The 21827-nt window shown below is 37.2% G+C and overlaps 1 protein-coding gene across 9 annotated transcripts in view, besides 1 other annotated feature; it reads left to right on the plus strand.

The window, feature by feature from the left end:
• Window positions 1-21827, plus strand: part of ACER3 (alkaline ceramidase 3) — a 165880-nt gene that overhangs the window by 45458 nt on the left and 98595 nt on the right. For 7 of the 9 annotated variants that reach the window (XR_007062489.1, NM_018367.7, XM_011545151.3 and 4 more), the window contains exon 2: window positions 20182-20292. The exons of 1 other annotated variant lie outside the window; for it this stretch is intronic. Coding sequence is in view for 5 of the 8 variants with exons in the window: in NM_018367.7 (NP_060837.3) it covers window positions 20182-20292 (111 nt within the window). In the remaining 3 variants the exon portion in view is untranslated. Of the gene's footprint in view, window positions 1-13731; window positions 13881-20181; window positions 20293-21827 lie in introns of those variants that run through there. One more of the 9 variants, XM_011545152.3, reaches the window with a different exon arrangement.
• Window positions 4770-5064: an enhancer, noted in NCBI's record as "tiled region #1403; K562 Activating DNase unmatched - State 8:EnhW, and HepG2 Activating non-DNase unmatched - State 24:Quies". NCBI's record gives its function as "activates a minimal TATA promoter and a strong SV40 promoter by Sharpr-MPRA in K562 cells, with weaker activation in HepG2 cells {active_cell/tissue: HepG2 | K562}" and the evidence as "EXISTENCE:reporter gene assay evidence [ECO:0000049][PMID:27701403]".

The raw sequence follows: 21827 nt of genomic DNA on the forward strand, positions 1-21827 counted from the left end.
TCTGGCATTGAGATTCATAACTCAACTGGTCCTGTCACCCCCTAACCAGAGACAGACTCAGCACAAGAGGATTGTTTTCCACACCCCTATGATTGTATCTCCAACCAATCAGCAGCACCCATTCCCTAGTTCCCTGCCCACCAAATTATCCTTGAAAATCCCTAACCTCCAAGCCTTCAGAGAGGCTAATTTGAGTAATAACTCTGTCTTCCGTGTGGCCAGCCTCACATCAGTTAAAATCTTTCTTTACTGCAGTACCATGGTGTCAGTGAGCTGGTTTTGTCTGTGCAGTGGGCAAGAAGAACCCCTCAGGCAATTACACTTTGACTTTTTTTTGTATTATTTTATTTTATTTTTATTTTAAATATTGAGATGGGATCTCACTATGTTGCTCAGGCTCATCTTGAACTCCTGAGCTCAAGCAGTCCCCCCACCTTGGCCTCCCAAAGTGTTGAGATTATAGGCATGAGCCGCCATGCCTGGACATGACTTTATCTACAATAGATTTTTGTATTCATTCAAATAAAAGCTTGATAGAGACATAACAAAATATAAACAATGATAAATTCTTAGGCATGAGCCTATTTGTTACATTATTCTTTATTCTGAATTTTACAGTTTCTTCAATTGAAAAAAAAGCGTCACGTTGTATAGCATCTGGTGCAAAATAGATACTTAATTCACTTCTCTCACTGTTTTTTTTCACCCTTTTTTACAGGATTGGATCATCAACTTACATTAGACAGCCAGTTTAATACCCCAATTATTTAAAGCTTCTCCTATCACTTTAAAGTGAATCCCTCCAATGAGGTACAAATTCAGGAAACAAGCATTCTTTATGATAGGCCCAGGAACTAGTTCTTATGAGTGTGATCAGTGGCCCCATCACAGCACCTTTTGTGTTATCTGGTTATAGCTTCTGCACTTGAAAGTCTTCTGTAGATCACAGCTCACTAGACACTATTTCAAGCAAATTTATTGTGAAACTAGTGTTATTTAGCTGATTTGTTCTTAGTGGACATGCTGTGTTTATATCTCTATTTTTGTGGTTCTCTTTCATATTGTTTCCAATAAGGATGACTGTTAAACTCATGGGCACATTAAGTAATATGTATGTATGTGATTTTCTTGAGTGCTTTTATTGTTTTCACCTTGATTTCTGACTGTTCAGATTTACAAGATTATTTTTGAATTGGATAAAATAAGCCAATAAAGCCGGGCACAGTGGCTCACACCTGTAATCCCAGTGCTTTGGGAGGCCAATGTAGGTGGATCACTTGAGGCAGGAGTTCAAGACTAGCCTGGCCAACACAGTGAAAGCCAGTCTCCACCAAAAAATACAAAAATTAGCCGGGCATGGTGATGCATGCCTATAGTCCCAGCTTCTTGGTAGGCTGAGGCAGGAGAGTCACTTGAACCCAGGAGGGAGAGCTTGCAGTGAGCTGAGATCATACCACTGCACTCCAGCCTGGGCGACACAGTGAGATCCTGTCTCAAAAAATAAAAATAAAAATAAGCCAATAAGTTCTAGTTTTATAAAGCTATTGTTGCTTGTCATTATATACAAATTATAATTTTTGCCGGGCACAGTGGCTGACGCCTGTAATCCCAGCACCCTGGGAGGCCAAGGCAAGTGGATCACCTGAAGTCAGGGGTTCGAGACCAGCCTGGCCAACATGGTGAAACCCTGTCTCTACTAAAAATAAAAAAATTAACTGGGCATGGTGGCACATGCCTGTAATCCCAGCTACTTGGGAGGCTGAGGTAGGAGAATCACTTGAACCTGGGAGGTGGAGGTTGCAGTGAGCTGAGATCGTGCCACTGCACTCTAGCCTGGGCGACAGAGCAAGACTCCATCTTGATTGTATGATTGTATATTTAGAAAATATGATTGTATATTTAGAAATAGTATGATTTTATATTTAGAAAACATATGATTGTATTATAATAATAATATGATTGTATATTAGAAAACCCCATCGTCTCAGCCCAAAAACTCCTTAAGCTGATAAGCAACTTCAGCAAAGTCTCAGGATACAAAATGTGCAGAAATCACAAGCATCCCTATACACCAATAGTAGACAAACAGAGAGCCAAATCATGAGGGAACTCCCATTCACAATTTCTACAAAGAGAATGAAATACCTAGGAATATAACTTACAAGGGATGTGAAGTACCTCTTCAAGGAGAACTACAAACCACTGCTCAAGGAAATAAGAGAGGACACAAACAAATGGAAAAACATTCCATGCTCACAGATAGAAAGAATCAATATTGTGAAAATGGCCATACTGCCCAAAGTAGTTTATAGATTCAATGCTATTCCCATCAAGCTTTTATTTGAATAAATATAAAAAACTATTGACTTTCTTCACAGAATTAGAAAAAAACAACTTTAAATTTCATATGGAACCAAAAAAGAGCCCATATAGCCAAGACAATCCTAAGCAAAAAGAACAAAGCTGGAGGCATCATTCTACCTGACTTCAAACTATACTACAAGGCTACAGTAACCAAAACAGCATGGTACTGGTACCAAAACAGATATATAGACCAATGGAACAGAACAGAGGCCTCAGAAATAACACCACACATCTACAACCATCTGATCTTTGACAAACCTGACAAAAACAAGAAATGGGGGAAAGGATTCCCCATTTAATAAATGGTGTTAGGAAAACTGGCTAGCCATATGCAGAAAACTGAAACTGGACCCCTTCCTTACACCTTGTACAAAAATTAACTCAAGCTGGATTAAACAGTTAAATGTAAAACCTAAAACCACAAAAACCCTAGAAGAAAACCTAGGCAATACCATTCAGAACATAGGTATGGGCAAAGACTTCATGACTAAAACACCAAAAGCAATGGCAACAAAAGCCAAAATTGACAAATGGGATCTAATTAAACTAAAGAACTTCTGCACAGCAAAAGAAACTATCATCAGAGTGAACAGGCAATCTTAAAAATGGGAGAAAATTTTTGCAATCTATCCATCTGACAAAGGGCTAATATCCAGAATCTACAAGGAACTTAAACAAATTTACAAGAAAAAAAACAACCCCATCAAAAAGCGGGCAAAGGATGTGAGCAGACACTTTTCAAAAGAAGACATTTATATGGCCAACAAACATATGAAAAAAAGCTAATCATCACCGGTCATTAGAGAAATGCAAATCAAAACCACAATGAGATACCATCTCACGCCAGTTAGAATGGCAATCATTAAAAAGTCAGGAAACAATAGATGCTGGAGAGGATGTGGAAAAATAGGAACGCTTTTACACTGTTGGTGGGAGTGTAAATTAGTTCAACCATTGTGGAAGACAGTGTGGCGATTCCTCAAGGATCTAGAACCAGAAATACCATTTGACCCAGCAATCCCATTACTGGGTATGTACCCAAAGGATTATAAATCATTCTACTATAAAGACACATGCACACGTATGTTTATTGCAGCACTATTCACAATAGCAAAGACTTGGAACCAACCCAGATGCCCATCAATGATAGACTGGATAAAGAAAATGTGACATATATACACCATGGAATACTATGCAGCCATAAAAAAGAATTAGTTCATATCTGTTGCCAGGACATGGATGAAGCTGGAAAGAATCATTCTCAGCAAACTAGCACAGGAACAGAAAATCAAACACCACATGTTCTCACTCATAAGTGAGAGTTGAACAATGAGAACATATGGGCACAGGGAGGGGAACATCACCACACACTGGGGCCTGTTGGGGGGTGGGGGGCAAGGGGAGGGATAGCATTAGGAGAAATACCTAATGTAGATGACCGGTTGATAGGTGCAGCAAACCACCATGGCACATGTATAACTATGTAACAAACCTGCACGTTCTGCACATGTGTCCCAGTACATAAAGTATAATAATAATAATAAAAAATTATGATTTTCACAGATAAGTTACTTAAGAGTAACTATTTCTTACTGCTTTCTGAAAAAAGACTACATATAATTCCATTGAATCTATTATTTTTTCTAACAAATTATTATAGACTGTATGTTTTTCTAAGATATTTCACCCTATCAGAATAAAGGTGTTTTATCTCATTGTAGAATAAACTCTTTAAAAGAGAACTAACATTTATTCCTTGCTTACTCAATTCACTTTTGCAATATTTCATCATCATAATAGGTATTATGCCTAATCTACAGAGGAGAAAATTAAGGCGCAAGGTGGTTAAGTAACTTGGATAAACATTTCGCCAAAGAAAATATACCATTAATAAACAGAAAATAATAAACATATAAATAGTTTAGTAACCCAGAGAAATGTAAATTAAAAAGTAATAATATATAGTTTTCTACCTCTTAAAGTAAGACATTATATTGTTCAATGTTACTGAAGTTAATATGTGAACCAGTCACCGTTATGTACTGCTAATAGGATTATAATTGGTCCAACCATTCTGGAAAGTAGTTTGGTTGTACTGTGTAATGCACCCACAAATATAATGATTAAGTGATTATTATATGATAGAACATTATGCTGCCATCGAAATTGTATTTTCAAAGATTATTAAGTTACATGGATGAATACTTACGTGATTATAGGAAAATCAGAAACAATGACCATTTTTCTGATTAAAATTGTTTATAGTTATTAAGATTACTCTCTACAGTCTCTGCTACTGTTACCCAATCCAGACCCCAAGAGAGGGTTCTTGGATCTTGCGCAAGAAAGAATTCCAGGCAAGTCCATGTAAATCGAAAGCAAGTTTATTAAGAAAGTAAAGGAATAAAAGAATGGCTTCTCCAAGGGCAGAGCAACCCTGAGGGCTGCTGGTTGGCTATTTTTATGGTTATTTATTAATTATATGCTAAACAAGGAGTGAGTTATTTATGAGTTTTCCAGGAAAGGGGCGGGCAATTCCTGGAACTGAGGGTTCCTCCCTCTTCTGGACTATATAAGGTAACTTCCAGACGTTGCCATGACATTTGCAAACTGTCGTGGCACTGGTGGGAGTGTCTTTTCGCATGCTAATGCATTATAATTAGCATATGATTAGCAGTGCCAGGGCCAGAGGTCACTTTTTTTGCCATCTTGGTTTTGATGGATTTTGGCTGGCTTCTTTATCAGCCAAAATCCCATCCTGCTGACCTCCTGTCTTGTTCCGTGATTATGAATGCCTAATCTCCTGAGAATGCAGCTCAGCAGATTTCAGCCTCATTTTATCCAGCCAGTATTCAAGATGGAGTTGCCCTGGTTCAAATGCCTCTGACACTACCATGGTGTTTAATGTCTGCTACTATCTGCCTCATCTGCCTTTTTCTTCTTCCTCTATAGAACAGCTTTCTCTCATTCCTTATATACTTGGCCTAAATATGGAAGCCTCAGCTTTAGCTTTACACTACCTTCACTATAAGTATCCAAAAAAGTATCATTTTTATTTGAGTCCTAATTCTGATTTTCCAGACAAAGAATCTGGGATTAGTGTGAGATTTGGCAAGGGGAATGAGGGAGTGGGGAAGGTCTTATAATTTGCTGCCTACCCCAATAGAGGCTAAAAGGAAAATTCTTAGAGGGAAGCTGGGGAGTTTCTCCAAGAGGAGATTCTACCCTAGGGAATTCATCCTGTGAACTTAACAAAATGTATGAACAAATAAATATTTTTAAGAATGTTCTAGTGGTTGTATAATGTCTCCCCAAAGTTCATGTCTGTCAGGAACCTCAGAATGTGACCTTAATTGAAAATAAGCTCTTTGCAGATACATTAATAATTAAGGATCTTGAGATTAAATCTACTGGAATTAGAGTATTCCTTAAGTTCAGTGATTGGTATCCTTAGAAGAAAACATAGTGACATAGAGAGTAGAAGGCAAAGTGAGGAATGCCAAAGATTGCTAGCAACCACCTGAAGCTGAGAGAGAAGCATGACACAATTTTTCCTTCAGGGGCTCTAGAAGGAACCACCCCTGCTGACACCTTGATTTTGAACTGTGGACATCCTGAATTGTAAGAAATTGAATTGGTTTTTTAAGCTACCCAGTTTGTGGTAATTTGTTACGGCAGCCCTAGGAAATTAATACAGATGTTCATAATATTGCTTTTTTCTGTTGTGAAAACCTGAAAATAACATAACTATCTGCCAATAAGGGATTATACAAATTATAATATATCCATATAATGTAATATTATGTGATAATTTAAAAAAATTGTGATCTCTATAGATTAAAGAAGACAATGACATATTGTTTTTAAAAAGGTTATAGAACCCAGATCACTAATCTTTGGGGAATCCTGAGTCTTGGTCTGAGTAATGTGGAGGCAGCGCAGTCGTCAGAAAAAAAATTTTTTCTCTTGTGTTTATATAATAAATAGCTGTTTGAAAAACTTTTTTTGCATGTATTAAGGCAATTGAGGAAATTTTTATGCTATTTAATGACAATAAATCATAAAACTATTGTATTGTTAGCGGTGGAAGAGATCCAAGTTACTGGCAGTGAATCCATATGGGTCCACAGCAACTTCAGTCCTTGCCTCCTCAGAAGAAAGAATTCGACTGAGGGCCATACAGCAGAAAAAGAGACTGAGGCAATTTTCAGATCAGGAGTGGAAGCTTATTTAAAAGGTTTTAGGATAGGAAAGAAAGGAAAATTTGCTTGAAGGAGACCTGAAGGTCCAAGAGAAGAAAGCAAAAAAACAATGGTTTGTAGTTCTCCTTGAAGAGGTCCTTCACCTCCCTTGTAAGTTGGATTCTTAGGTATTTTATTCTCTTTGAAGCAATTGTGAATGGGAATTCACTCATGATTTGGCTCTCTGTTTGTCTGTTATTGGTGTATAAGAATGCTTGTGATTTTTGCACATTGATTTTGTATCCTGAGACTTTGCTGAAGTTGCTTATCAGCTTAAGGAGATTTTGGGCTGAGACGATGGGGTTTTCTAGATATACAATCACGTCATCTGCAAACAGGGACAATTTGACTTCCTCTTTTCCTAATTGAATACCCTTTATTTCTTTCTCCTGCCTGATTGCCCTGGCCGGAACTTCCAACACTATGTTGAATCGGAATAGTGAGAGAGGACATCCTTGTCTTGTGCCAGTTTTCAAAGGGAATGCTTCCAGTTTTTGCCCATTCAGTATGATATTGGCTGTGGGTTTGTCATAAATAGTTCTTATTATTTTGAGATACGTCCCATCAATACCTAATTTACAAATGGAAGAACATTCCATGCTCATGGGTAGGAAGAATCAATATCGTGAAAATGGCCATACTGCCCAAGGTAATTTATAGATTCAATGCCATCCGCATCAAGCTACCAATGACTTTCTTCACAGAATTGGAAAAAATTACTTTAAAGTTCATATGAAAGCAAAAAAGAGCCCACATTGCCAAGTGAATCCTAAGCCAAGAACAAAGCTGGAGGCATCACGCTACCTGACTTCAAACTATACTACAAGGCCACAGAAACCAAAACAGCCTGGTACTGGTACCAAAACAGAGATATAGACCAGTGGAATAGAACAGAGCCCCCAGAAATAATACCACACATCTACAACCATCTGATCTTTGACAAACCTGACAAAAACAGGAAATGGGGAAAGGATTCCCTATTTAATAAATGGTGCTGGGGAAACTGGCTAGCCATATGTAGAAAGCTGAAACTGGATCCCTTCCTTACTCCTTATACAAAAATTAATTCAAGATGGATCAAAGACTTAAATGTTAGACCTAAAACCATAAAAACCCTGGAAGAAAACCTAGGCAATAGCATTCAGGACATAGGCATGGGCAAGGACTTCATGTCTAAAACACCAAAAGCATGGCAACAAAAGCCAAAATTGACAAATGAGATCTAATTAAACTAAAGAACTTCTGCACAGCAAAAGAAACTATCATCAGAGTGAACAGGCAACCTACAGAATGGGAGAAAATTTTTGCAGTCTACTCATCTGATAAAGGGCTAATATCCAGAATCTACAAAGAACTCAAACAAATTTACAAGAAAAAAACAACCCCATCAAAAAGTGGGCGAAGGATATGAACAGACACTTCTCAAAAGAAGACATTTATGCAGCCCAAAAACACATGAAAAAATGCTCACCATCACTGGCCATCAGAGAAATGCAAATCAAAACCACAATGAGATACCATCTCACACCAGTTAGAATGGCGATCATTAAAAAGTCAGGAAACAACACGTGCTGGAGAGGATGTGGAGAAATAGGAACACTTTTTACACTATTGGTGGGAGTGTAAACTAGTTCAACCATGGAGGAAGACAGTGTGGCGATTCCTCAAGGATCTAGATCTAGAAATACCATTTGACCCAGCCATCCCATTACTGGGTATATACTCAAAGGATTATAAATCATGCTGCTATAAAGACACATGCATACGTATGTTTGTTGTGGCACTATTCACAATAGCAAAGACTTGGAACCAACCCAGATGTCCATCAATGATAGAATGGATTAAGAAAATGTGGCACATATACACCATGGAATACTATGCAGCCATAAAAAAAGGATGAGTTCGTGTCCTTTGTAGGGACATGGATGAAGCTGGAAACCATCATTCTCAGCAAACTATCACAAAGACAAAAAACCAAACACTGCATGTTCTCACTCATAGGTGGGAATTGAACTATGAGAACACTTGGACACAGGGTGGGGAACATCACACACCGGGGACTGTTGTGGGGTGGGGAGGGATAGCATTAGGAGATATACCTAATGTAAATGACGAGTTAATGGGTGCAGCACACCAACATGGCACATGTATACATATGTAACAAACCTGCACGTTGTGCACATGTACCCTAGGACTTAAAGTATAATTTAAAAAAAGGAAAAATAAATAAATAAGTTAAAAAAAAAAGACAGCAAAAGAAGACAGAAAAAAAAGGCCCTTTTACCTTGATCCTAGGACTTTATGGGCTCGCCTCTTTCCCATGATACTTCCCTTAGGGTGGGCTTTCTCATGCCCCGTGCTTTCCTTACCCTTTGGAATTGAGCACGCGCAGTGTGTTCAGGGAGTTATACACATGCCCATCTGAGGCTTTCTTCCCTTTTCTGGTGGAGCGTACCCACCCCCCCGAGATCGTACTTCACCATTTTTGTCTCGATGTTAACAGGTGTGGACCATCCGGAAACAACCTCTCCCTGGCACCCCTACTGCTGAGAGAGGCAATGCGATAATTGCTGAACTATCACCCGACATTTCTAGTGGGTGGGGGGAGAGCCCTCCCCGGCCTCACTCATGCCTAACTACCTGTAACAGTATTAGTCCATTTTCACACTTCTATAAAGAAATACCTGAGACTGGGTAATTTATGAAGAAAAGAGGTTTCATTGACTCACAGTTCCACATGGCTGGGGAGACCTCAGGAACCTTACAGTCATGGAAGAAGGCGAAGGGGAAGCAAACTTGGACCTTTTCACATGGCAGCAGGAGAGTGTGTGCAAGCACAGGGAAAACTACCATTTGTAAAACCATCAGATCTTGTAAGAATTCACTCAGTCTCAAGAACAGCATGGGGGAACCACCCACATAATCCAATCACCTCCCACCAGATCCCTCAACACCTGGGGATTACAATTCAAGATGAGATTTGGGTGGGGACCCAAAACCTAACCATATCAAATATAGAAGGTATCTTTTGTGAGATTTTAACAGTAATAAATCATCTGCATTTTTAATAATTAAGGTTAATTTAGTCTAAATTTAAAATGCATTTTAAAGGTCTTATGCATTCATGATTTTTGACTGATGCATTTTAATTCTAAGTAAATGAAGAGTGAATGAAAAATTATACTGAAATTAGTTTGGGGTGAAGGATGAATCTGTTAAATTAATTTTGGGGAAAAGAATAACTTTATTACATCATAACTGAACCACATCTGAAATAATATCTATTAGGTTTTAAATACCTGTACTCTTGAAAATTTGGAACTAGTTTAATTTGCATGAGGGCAGTCTGTCTGGTTTTCTTTTGTATTCCTTTATAGAGCCTTTTGTAGTAGATGATCAGTGGGTATTTGCTATTGAATGAATATAAGGCCACTGCCCTCAAGAAATGTAACTGAGGAGATAAGTCATAAATATCAGTTGATCAGATTTAGTGAAAAGAGATCTGTCTATGCAAGGCAATCTATGCTAAGTGCCAGGTGAGAGGTTAAAACGGTTAAGTGCTGTAACAAGAGTGGTCATTTTGAGTAGGATGATTAACAAAAATTCACCAAATGTAGGTAGGATTTGATTTGGGCCCTTAAAGAAGTTTCGGTAAAAGTGGAGAGGAAGAAGGGATTATCAAAATAACCATTTTCAGATTATGTCATTTCAATAATGCCTCTTCATTACTGAACATAGTTTGGAAACTTTCCCTTTTTGACCTTTGAATAAATCAAAAATGTTCATTTCACCAACTATTTCTCTAGGGATTTCAAGACCCTGTTACTTACCTTGTTCTTCTCTGGCTCATGACTTCATCATGGTTATCTGTTTTAAATCTTTCTCAGTGTGCTCATCTTTGATCCTTCTCTAAAGCAGCATTTTAGACCTGTAAATGCTGTTTGTACAGAGTCATTCCCCTCCCCTGTAACCTCCCTCTTGTGAGGCCAGAGTTTACCTAAGCCGTATCTGATATGGAGCTCCCAAGTTCTTCTCTTAGCTCTTTACCACTGTGTACTTGGCCTTTCTTCCCAAACCTACAATGTACTTCCTCTTGAATTTAACATGAACATTTCCATTTTTACTGGGTCCCAATGATCATTACAAGCTCTGCTTAGTGAATGTGGGTTCCAGCAAACTGAAGACAAAAGGCCCCGACTTCTGGATGAAATGTTTCACCATAAACCTACCTAGACTGGAGGTCTTCCAGAAGCCATCTGCACAATTTCCCCCTTACCCAGGAAATGTTTCTGGGCAATATTGGTGGTTTAAAAATATTTTTAGTAATACTTACATGCAATAAAGTGAATGTGTAATGTATATTTTTAAAAATAATGTGAAAAAACTAATTTTCATAAATTAAATATTTTTCTAAACTATTATATATATCCCAAAGAAAATAGAATGACTTAGGGCAGCCACGGTGGCTCATGCCTGTAATCCCAGCACTTTGGGGGGCTGAGGTGGGAGGATCATTTCAGCTTAGGGGTTCGAGACCAGCCTGAGCAACATAAGAAGACCTCGTCAGTACAAAAAAACCAAAATATATATAATTGGCCAGGCGCAGTGGCTCATGCCTGTAATCTAAGCACTTTGGGAGGCCAAGGTGGGAGGATTGCTTGAGTCAAGTAGTTCAAGACCAGCATGAACAACATAGGGATACCTTGTCTCTACAGAAAAATTTTTTTTTAATTAGCCAGGAGTGGTGGCATATGCCTTTAGTCCCAGCTACACAGGAGGCTGAGGTGGGAGGATCACTTGAGCCCAAAAGGTCGAGGCTGCAGTAAGCCATGATTGTGCCACTGAACTCACTCTGTGCAACAGAGAGAGACCCTGTCTCAAAAAAAAAAAAAAAAGAAAGAAAAGAAAAGAAAATAGAATGACTCTTGTAGTAATAAAAATCCCACATTCCTGCATATCTTTTTATCTGTCAGAAGCATAGCTTAAGTGTTATCTTCTTACTGAAACCCATCTTGGATTCTCTCCCTCCCGCTAAGTGTATTGGTTTTTTTGCCTTCTTTGTTCCTATCACTCTCTTTTGCTAGTTGTTTACCTGTCTGTCTTTCCTGCTACACTTATATATACTTTTTCAGGATAGGTACCAAAGTTATTCACTTGTTAATTTTTCTTCTAGCTCCCAACTTAGTGCCTTGCATGTAGAAAATACTTGATAAATGTTTGTCAAATTGAATTACATTTGTGTTTATCATTTTTTAAAGTAAGACACACTTGGTTTCCTGTTTTTTTTTTCTTCTGATATCTATCTTAATTTAAAGCTACTGGAAGGAGTCCCTTGTACTGTAATATGCATTTATATGATGGTTATTATTATTATTTTTTTCTTTAAGCTTAGCGTGAACCAGTGTACCCTATAACTTTCTTTGTTACTGGCCTGGATTAGAAGACAAACCTTCTCCCTTGTGATAACTGTTCTTGAGCTGGTGCAAGTACCAACACAATTCCCAGGTTGCACCTATTTTTGTTCGTTTTTTACTTTTTATTTATATCATAAGTAGTTATGTGGGGTTTTTTTTCAACTTTTATTTTAAATTCAAGAGTACATGTGCAAGTTCACTATATAGATATTAATTCTTAACACAGCAAGATTGTGGAAGTTCTTATATAATATTCTATGGATCTTTCTCATATCAAATAATCTTTATATGTGTTATTTGGTCATATTTATTATTTATATCATATTCAATTATTTAAATAATGTAAATATAATTGTTTTTACCCATTTTGCAAGTTAGGAAACTAAGGCTTAAGCATAAATAAGTTGCCTAAGTTCACACAGCTAGAAGGTGGTAGTAGATAAGAACACAGTAATGCCTACTCTAAATTGTGAAGATGAATTTAGATGATCTCCCTATCTACATCCATCTCTGAAGTCTCTGAAGCTCTGGGAATGTTTAACATTATTTGAAGATCTGCATAATCAGTAAAATATTTGGCAAAATGAACTTGCATTGGGGAAAAGTGCTGGGTTGCTTTCAGGCTCAAACCAGTTACAGCTTTCATCAAGCTAATTTGCTGACTGGGCAGGACGGCTTTTCACAGTGGAAGTGAAGCAATATAGATCACTTTTTCAGCTTCACTAGATTTTAATGCTTCTATTTATTTATCTTTAGCTCTGGGTGATGGTTTTACAGTTGTAAATACAACCGAGCTCTAAATTGTTTATCCAGTCACCTCAGGGTTTTATGTATTCAGCCAAATGTTGGAAAACCGTTTAGATTGTGGAGCACACTGGCTCCACCTACTGTCCTATGAGAAAACACTTTCCTACTGTATCTTCATTCACAATTCTCTTAAATTGTACCCTTTTGCACATGTGCTTTTCCCCAAACTTTGTTTCTCATATTTTTGATATTTGAGTTTCCGTTTACCTTGCTGAAAGATAAATTTACCTATTAAGAAATCGTGAAATTACTGTAACGTCAGTCTTGCCTGTAATTTATATTATAAGGAGAATGTGTTTGGGGGTATAAAAATATCATAGTTTTCAAAAATCTAAATCTATATCAAAATAAGACTTTCCTTCCAGAAAAAAAGTGTTCAAAATATTTTAGTACACTATTGTGTGGTGTATGAATGAATATCTCGCTTTTATTTCCAGAACAGAAATTTTTTAATTGAATTTTCTGGAAGCAGTTAACCTCAAATCCAATTAAACTCTTAGTAGAAGTAATTTTATTTTCTACCATTCATCTTTTTAATACTTTAGTTTTCAGTTATAAAGACAATATAGCAACATTGTAGAAAATATGGAAAAAGGGGGAAATCCATTATTTAACCTGCTTAAATGTTTATTCTTAATTTCTTGGTTAGGGAACCCTCACCAACTATAGTTTTACCAAGTCATGATTGATGAAAACATAGTTTTATAATTGTGGTCGTTATCAATTTATTACTTCTTAGCTCTGAGTTCAACATTCATTGCATGGTTGGTGAAAATAGACCTGAGCCCTTTGAATATTTTCCTTTGACAACTGGCTGGATGTTAAATTTTGTCAATAGAGGGCGCCAGAGAGACATTGCAAGAGGAAGAGATTTTCCTTCCTGGTTCTGGTGTGCTGGCTTGGCAACTTCTCTGGCGCCAGCTCTTGCAGTCCAAGTGGCTTAATAGCTTCTGGCTCCTACAGTGCTGAGGCTTCCCCAGTGCCCACCTCTTAAAGCTTGGTCAGCTTCTGGTGCCAGGCTATTGCAGAACGTGGCTGTCAGCAGCACCTAGTGGTCAGTAGCATCCCCTGCCCACCTACCTCTCCGCTCTATGGGATTAGCTTTAGCTGGCACCCTAGAGGGCAGAGTTCTGACAAGTTCTGAACAGTAGATTTCAGCAAGCTCTATGGGTATAGCACCACAGCAACTTCTCGGCTATTCAGTGAACCATGGTCATGCCTTCTCCAGCAAGGTCTGCATCTCAGCCTTGGGGAAACCTCTTTTTTAATGCTCTATCTCAGCCTTAGGGGTAGTGGCTGCTCCTTACCTCTGATATTCCTTTATTCTGTAGAGTTTTCTTTACTTGTGACTAGCCTGTCTCTCCTTACTCTTATAAGTTAATAATTCTCTATTCAAATTACTCTGGTTTATCTTTTCTGATTGAACTCTTGACTTTTTTTTTTTTTTTTTTAACAGACAGAGTCTTGCTCTGTCACCCAGGCTGCAGTGCAGTGGTGTGATCATGGCTCACTGCAGCCTCAGCCTCCCAGGCTCAAGCGATCCTCCCACCTCAGCCTTCTGAGCAGCTAAGACCACGGGCAAGTGCCACTATGCCTGGCTAATTTTAAAAAATTTTTTGTAGAGATGGGTTCTCCTTATGTTGCCCAGGCTGGTGTCGAACTCCTGGGCTCAAGCAATCCTCCCCCCTTGGCTTTCCAAAGTGCTGGGATTATAGCCATGATCCACAATGCCTGGGCTGAAACCATTTTTTTACCCAAAGTTTTAAGTCCACGATCATTTTATGTGCATTATTTTGCTTAGTAAAATTAAATTAGCTAACATGTATAGCTATATAAGCTAAATTGCTTATTTACAAAGCAATTACATATCTATTATTCTTTAAATCAGCTTTTTAAAAGTAACCTTTTATTCTTTTTTCCTGACTTTACAGTCTTACCTGATTTATCAATTTTTTGCCTTTGTGGTTAATCCTTTTCATGTCCTACTGAAAAAAATCATTGCCTCTCCAAGGTGATAAAGATGTTCTCCCATATTTTCTTCTGAAGGTTTTATTGTGTTACCTTTTACATTTAGATCTATAGTACCTCTGGAATTTATTTTTAATTAAAACAAATTTTTAATTGTTTATCGAATTGGGCAGCCCTTGAACCAGAATGGGTTCAGAGAAGCTCCCATCTGGAATTTATTTTTGTGTAAGGAGTGTGAACCTGGGATCCAGATTAATTTTTTTCCTATATAAATATGCAGTTGATCCAGTATCTGTATTGAAAAGACCATCCTTTCCTTAATACACTGCAGGCTTATGTTTGTCATAAATCAGGTGCTCGTAAATGTTAGTATGTTCTTATAATCTTACCTGTTCTATTTAACCTTGTTAGTCGGCCTTGATATCTAGTAGTGTAAATACTCCAGGTTTGTTGTTACTCAAGATTGTCTTGGCTCTTCTTAGCCTTTTGTATTTCATATAAAGTTAAGAGTCAGCTTTTTAATTTGTACCCAAAACCATTTGGGATTTTTATTAGTATTATGTCTTATATGTCTTTGTCAGATTTATTCCTAGATATGTGATGTGTTTTGATGCTATTGCAAATTATATCTGTAACACCAAAACTGCAGTTACGTGTTCAGATTGTCAATCTGACCCAGGAATCCTTCAGATATTTGAAGATAGCAGTCATTCCATTCCTTATATGTTGTGTTTTATTTATTTAGTATATTATGCCTTTATATGAGTCTCTACTCTGAATGCTTTAGTATTTCTGTTTTGTTTAGGGTGCCACAAATAGATAAACATCCCAATGAGAAGCTGAATTAAAGCAGAGAAAAGTAGGAGGACCACTATCTAGCTCTTTCCATTTTTACCTCTGAATACTAGTATATTGAGATTTTCCTCCCAGAATAGCCTACTGTCATCTTTCTGTCTTTGGAACTTTCTGTCAGGGTTGTCCTTACTCTCTCTAACAAGCCTATATTTGTGGTTTGCAATTCTTCATTCTAATTTGTAAAACTTGTGCATTGTCCTTAAATGAGTTTCATATAGTTTGTAAGACCCTCCTGCACTCCCTGCCTCCAGGTAATTTGAAATGTATTACTGACTTCCATACTATTGACATTTCAGCTAAATTTAATACTACCTGTACGTTTGGGCATGTTTCCATTGCTTTATCTTAGTCATCAGTAAAGATTTTCATTAGTTTGAATCTTAGGGCACTCCTGAATGGTAAAATATTCAACATCTCCTACAGGTTTACTTAAAACTATTGATAACTGCTGTTTGGATATATAACTCTCAATCTGTCTGGCTCCCCACCTTACATTTTCATACTCTACCTAGGCAAATTACTTTATTCTTTGTACAGTTTGGAAGTCATTTAATATATTCTGAATAAAATACTCTGATATAATTTTTAAAACATTATAATTAATAAGCACCCTCTGTGTGAACATTGTGCTAGCACATCTAGTGAGAGGAACATTAGCTATAAGGACAGATAGACCTGGAATAAAATCTTGCCACCACCATTTGCTTATTGTGAGAACTTGGAATTGTATACTGTAAATTGTATAATTTCTTAACCCGCTTTTACTGTTTATTTTTAATAGGGACAACAATACTTCACAAGATTGGTTGTGAGAAGCAAGTAAGATAGCACATGTAAAATATAAAGTTCAGTACCTGGTACTTAATAGGCTCAGCATATTTTTGTTCCTTTCTCTCCTTTCAGGGTCTAGCTCAAATCTTAATACATCTATGAAACTATTCCCAACGATCTTACTCCCTCTCCTAAATGGTTTCTGTATTAATTTTTATTTTATCAAAGCAATATATAAAAAAAATTTAAAAATCTAGATAATGCTAAACAACTTTAACAAAACCAGAAGGCAATGTTCTTTCCCAACCCTTCTTTGCTTCCCACTGTCTAATTCTACTCCCCAGAAGCAAAATTAAAAAAAAAAACAAACCCAGCTTGATTGAGGTATAATTGAGATACAAAACAGACTGCACCTATTTAAAGTGTACAAATTAAAATTTGACATTGGCTTATACCTGTGAAACCATCAAAAACAAGATAGTAACATATCCTTCACCTCCAAGTTTTATTTTATTCCTTTGTAAGCCCTCCTTCTGCATTGAACTTCCACCATTTCTCCCCCAGCAACCACTGATCTTCTTTCTGTCACTGTAGATTAGTTTGCATTTTCTAGCCTTTTATATGATCTGTTTTAGTCCTTGTCTGCTAATTCTAACATCTGTTCTGGGTTGGTTCCAGTTGATTATTTTCCTCATGGATCATGTTTCTTGCTTTTTTTGTATGCCTGGTAATCTTTGATTGAATACCTGACATCGTGCTTTTTTTAACTTTGTTAGGTGCTGAATAACTTTTGTATTAGTATAAATAGTCTTGAATTTTGTTCTGGATTTCAGTGAAGCTACTTGGAAACAGTTTGATCCTTTTGGATTTTGCTTTTGTGATTTGTTAGGTGTGTCTGGAACAGGGTTCAGTCTAGTACTAGCTATTCCCTATTACTGAGGCCAGGCCTTCTTGATTCCTTTATCCAATGCCCAGTGTGATACAAATTTTACCATTTCAGCTTTTGGGAGTAGGCACTGTTTCTGGCTATGTGTGTACTGGCTATGTGTGAACACCTGGTACTGTTCCCTCTAATATTTTCACCATGATTCTTTCCTGGCTTCGACTAGTTTGCTCCTACACATCTGCTAATCAGTCTTCTGCTGAATAGTTAGGGGGCCCTTTATAGATTTCCTGAGTTCTTTCTCTCTAAAGTTGTCTCTCATATACTGTCTCCTGTGAAATCTAGTCACCTTGGTCTTCCTGAACTCCCCGCTTTGTTTCCTCATCAGGGAGCCTGCCAAGGTCCCGCTGGGTACTCCCTCCTTATGCTGTGGCTTGAGTACTCCAGGCAGTAAGGTAGGGGCAATCATAGGGGCCTCCATTTGTTTCTTGGTTTCTCGGGAATCATTGCCTGATGTCTATTGTCTTGAAAATAGTTGTTTCATATATTTTGTCTCCTCTCCCCTTCCCTCTGCTCCCCTCTTCTTCTTATTTCAGGTAAGAGGATAAATCTGGTTCTTGTTTCTTCATCTTGTGTGGAAACAGAAGTCTGACAATAACTGTGTTAACATTTATTTTATTTATTTATGTATTTATTTATTTATTTTTGTAGAGATGAGTCTCACTGTGTTGCCCAGGCTGCTCTAGAACTCCTGGGCTCAAGCGATCCTCCCACCTTGGTCTCCCAAAGTGCTAAGATTACAAGTGTTAGCCACTGCCCCTGGCCAGCTATTTTTTTTTTATTATTATTAATTTGGCTTCAGATTTCTGAATAACTTGCCTTACAGTCCTATTTCTGGATCTGTAAATTTAAGATATTGTCTGTTGTCTTCTAGTTTTGGTGGTTGGGGATTTCACTTTTTTATACCATCCCTGCTTTCCCCACTATATTTTCTCAATAAAGTCAGAGCATAATTTTTTACTAAATAAGTAGTTAGGATGTAACATCCATAATATCAATATGGCTATGTAAATAATGTGCACTGCTAAGCCAGATAGTGTACTCTATGGTAACATTTCTTTCTGTGTAGACTACTAAAAATACAAAAATTAGCTGGGCATGATGGCATGCACCTGTGTTCCCAGCTACTCAGGAGGCTGACACACAAGAATCTCTTGAGCCCAGGAGGTGGAGGTTGCAGTGAGCTGAGATCACGCCACTGCACTCCAGCCTGGGCAACAGAGGAAGACTCTGTCAAAAAAAAAAAAAAAAAAAACACCAAAAATTTGTCTACAGCAAATACATAGGGTTAATATTAATATCCCTTTTACAAGAAGGGCTCCTTCTTATAGAAAAAGGAAAGACCAATAGAAAAACTGGCAAAGGGCATGAAATACATTTCATAGGAGAAGAAATACAAAAGAAGATAAAATTATACCCATCCTTATTCATTGTAAAAGAAAGAACGATGCGTCCATGTTTTCTGTTACTACTTTTTGGGCCAATAGATTTATTTCTTGACTTGACAATCTCATTTTTGTGTATCTATTTTACAGATATACCTGCACTTGTAAATATATATGGTTATTCATTGCAGTATTACCTGCACTTGTAAATATATATGGTTATTCATTGCAATATTGCTTGTAATAGTGAGAATGGGAAATAACCTGAATGTTTACAGTTATAGAGGACTGGTTGAATGAGTTATAGTACAATTTTTCCAACACCTCTGTCAAATGCCCATTGGCATTTTTTCCCCAAAATTTTTTAATTTATCAAATTATCTATCCTTTTCTTCCTTTTCTTCTTGGAAACTTCTTTCCTGCAGTTCTTGGTTCTCCTGCCGCAGTTTGGATGGACTGTGTGGTCCCTGGTCCTTTTGTAGTCTTGAGCCTTTTCTTTACCTCTCTCCTGTGTTGCAGCCCATGTTTCTTAGCTCTCATGTCATCCTTTCTCATGGTCAGTTTCCTTGTTTGCACTCATTACATTCTCCAGTTGATTCCAGAAAAAGATATGTTGTAAGTATATTTTTTTAATCCTTGACTGTTTGAAAATGTTTTCTTCTACCCTCTCAGTGAATTGATTATTTGTCTTGATATTAGCATCTCTGCTGAAAATCATTCTTTTGAAATTTGGAAAATATTGTGCCCCTTTATTCTTCTGATAATCAAATTTATAAAATACTGTTTAGCCATTTCTTTCTCCATTTTATTTACTTATAAATTCTACTGGGGTTTTTTACTATTCCTTTGCTATTCATGTTTGCACTTTGTTTTTGTGAAGACAGGAGGAAAGATCAAATTAAGATCCATTAATTAGGCCTTCTATGTTTTACTAGAAACAGAAACTAGAAATTAAAACATTACTAGAAAATGAAATGTTAAAGAGACACACAAAATGTAAACTGCAATTTGTTGCTTTTTTATTCCAAGTAACAAAATTAAGCCAATCCTGTATTCATCATGTCATACTGCATCCATGGACCACAATTTCAGTGCATCAGTATAGGCTGCCTCCCCCAACCCATTTTCTGCTGTATCTCTGAGGTTCTTCCGGAGATCTTTTTCTTGCTTGCCTTTAGAAATTAGGATTTCCTTTAGTGGGTTTGCTGGTGGAAAATTTTTAGTTTCATTTGTCTGAAATATCTTTATTTTATTTGGATTATTGTGAGAAATTTTTGGTGAGTACAGAATTTTTTTTCAGCACCTTGAAAATATCTTCCCAATGTCTTTCTGAGAAGTTACTTGTGTAATTGTTGTTAAAGCCTACGTGAATGTATCTTTATTTAAAGTGTTATTGATTAACCTAAATGTCTTCTTATATTTTTCTCTTAAAGGGAATACAGTGAGTAACCTGATCATGATTATACCTCCAATGTTCGGTGCAGTTCAGAGTGTTAGAGACGGTCTGGAAAAGCGGTACATTGCTTCTTATTTAGCACTCACAGGTATGTATAACACTGTATCTGAAGAAATGTACAGTATTCAAATGGGCCATTTTTCTCATTCATTTCTAAAAGCGGTTTTCAATTTTGTGTTATTACATAACTTGAATATATTCTGAAACTTCTTAGTTAAAACTCCAAAAACCTTGCCAGTGAATTGAACTGCATTTTGAATAAAATGTTTTAGAAATTACAAAATATTTTAAGCATACAAAAAAGAATAGAGATAATATAACAAATATACCCACACATCTTACTACCCAGTTTTGTCAGGTCCTAACAATTTATAATATTTGTTTCAGATCTTTTTCTTTTTTAAGGAAATTACTACAGATAAAATTAAAACTCCTTTGTATTCCTCCCTGATTGTATCCCCCTCAGCCTCCCAGCCCATCCCCTAAGAGCTAGCCTCAATCCTGAATTTGATGCTTATCATTTTCTCATGTTTTCATGTTTATACTATGTATGTATATATCCTTAGAAGTATACATAGTATGGTTTTGCATAGTTTTAAACTTTTTGGAAAGGATACCATCCAACCTTTTGTGACTTACGTATATTCTACTTGTCTGTGAGGTGGAGGACTGTGTCTTAATGATCTTTGCGTCCCTATTGTCTGGCAGTTTAGTGTTCCTCAATAAGTACTGGATGGATGGGTAAATCAGCTATACCAGAGCCTAACGTAGTGAAATCACTTCTGTCTTCTGTCATGTTCTTGCATCATCATAATAAATAAAAAATACCAAATGAAGTAGATTCTTTCTAGTAGTTTCATTTCTTCATTTTCTATTCTGTTTTTTTTATTATTATTATACTTTAAGTTCTAGGGTACACGTGCACAACGTGCAGGTTTGTTACATATGAATACATGTGCCATGTTGGTGTGCTGCACCCATTAACTCGTCATTTACATTAGGTATATCTCCTAATGCTATCCCTCCCCCCTTCCCCCACCCCACAACAGGCCCTGGTGGGTGATGTTCCCCACCCTGTGTCCAAGTGTTCTCATTGTTCAATTCCCACCTATGAGTGAGAACATGCGGTGTTTGGTTTTTTGGCCTTGCGATAGTTTGCTGAGAATGATGGTTTCCAACTTCATCCATGTCCCTACAAAGGACATGAACTCATCCTTTTTTAATGGCTGCATAGTATTCCCTTGTGTATATGTGCCACGTTTTCTTAATCCATTCTATCATTGATGGACATCTGGGTTGGTTCCAAGTCTTTGCTATTGTGAATAGTGCCGCAATAAACATACGTGTGCATGTGTCTTTATAGCAGCATGATTTATAATCCTTTGAGTATATACCCAATAATGGGATGGCTGGGTCAAATGGTATTTCTAGTTCTAGATCCTCAAGGAATCGCCACACTGTCTTCCACCATGGTTGAACTAGTTTACAGTCCCACCGACAGTATAAAAGTGTTCCTATTTCTCCACATCCTCTCCAGCACGTGTTGTTTCCTGACTTTTTAATGATCGCCATTCTAACTGGTGTGAGATGGTATCTCATTGTGGTTTTGATTTGCATTTCTCT

This window comes from Homo sapiens, chromosome 11 (assembly GCF_000001405.40).
Source record: "Homo sapiens chromosome 11, GRCh38.p14 Primary Assembly".
Taxonomy (NCBI): Eukaryota; Metazoa; Chordata; class Mammalia; order Primates; family Hominidae; genus Homo; species Homo sapiens.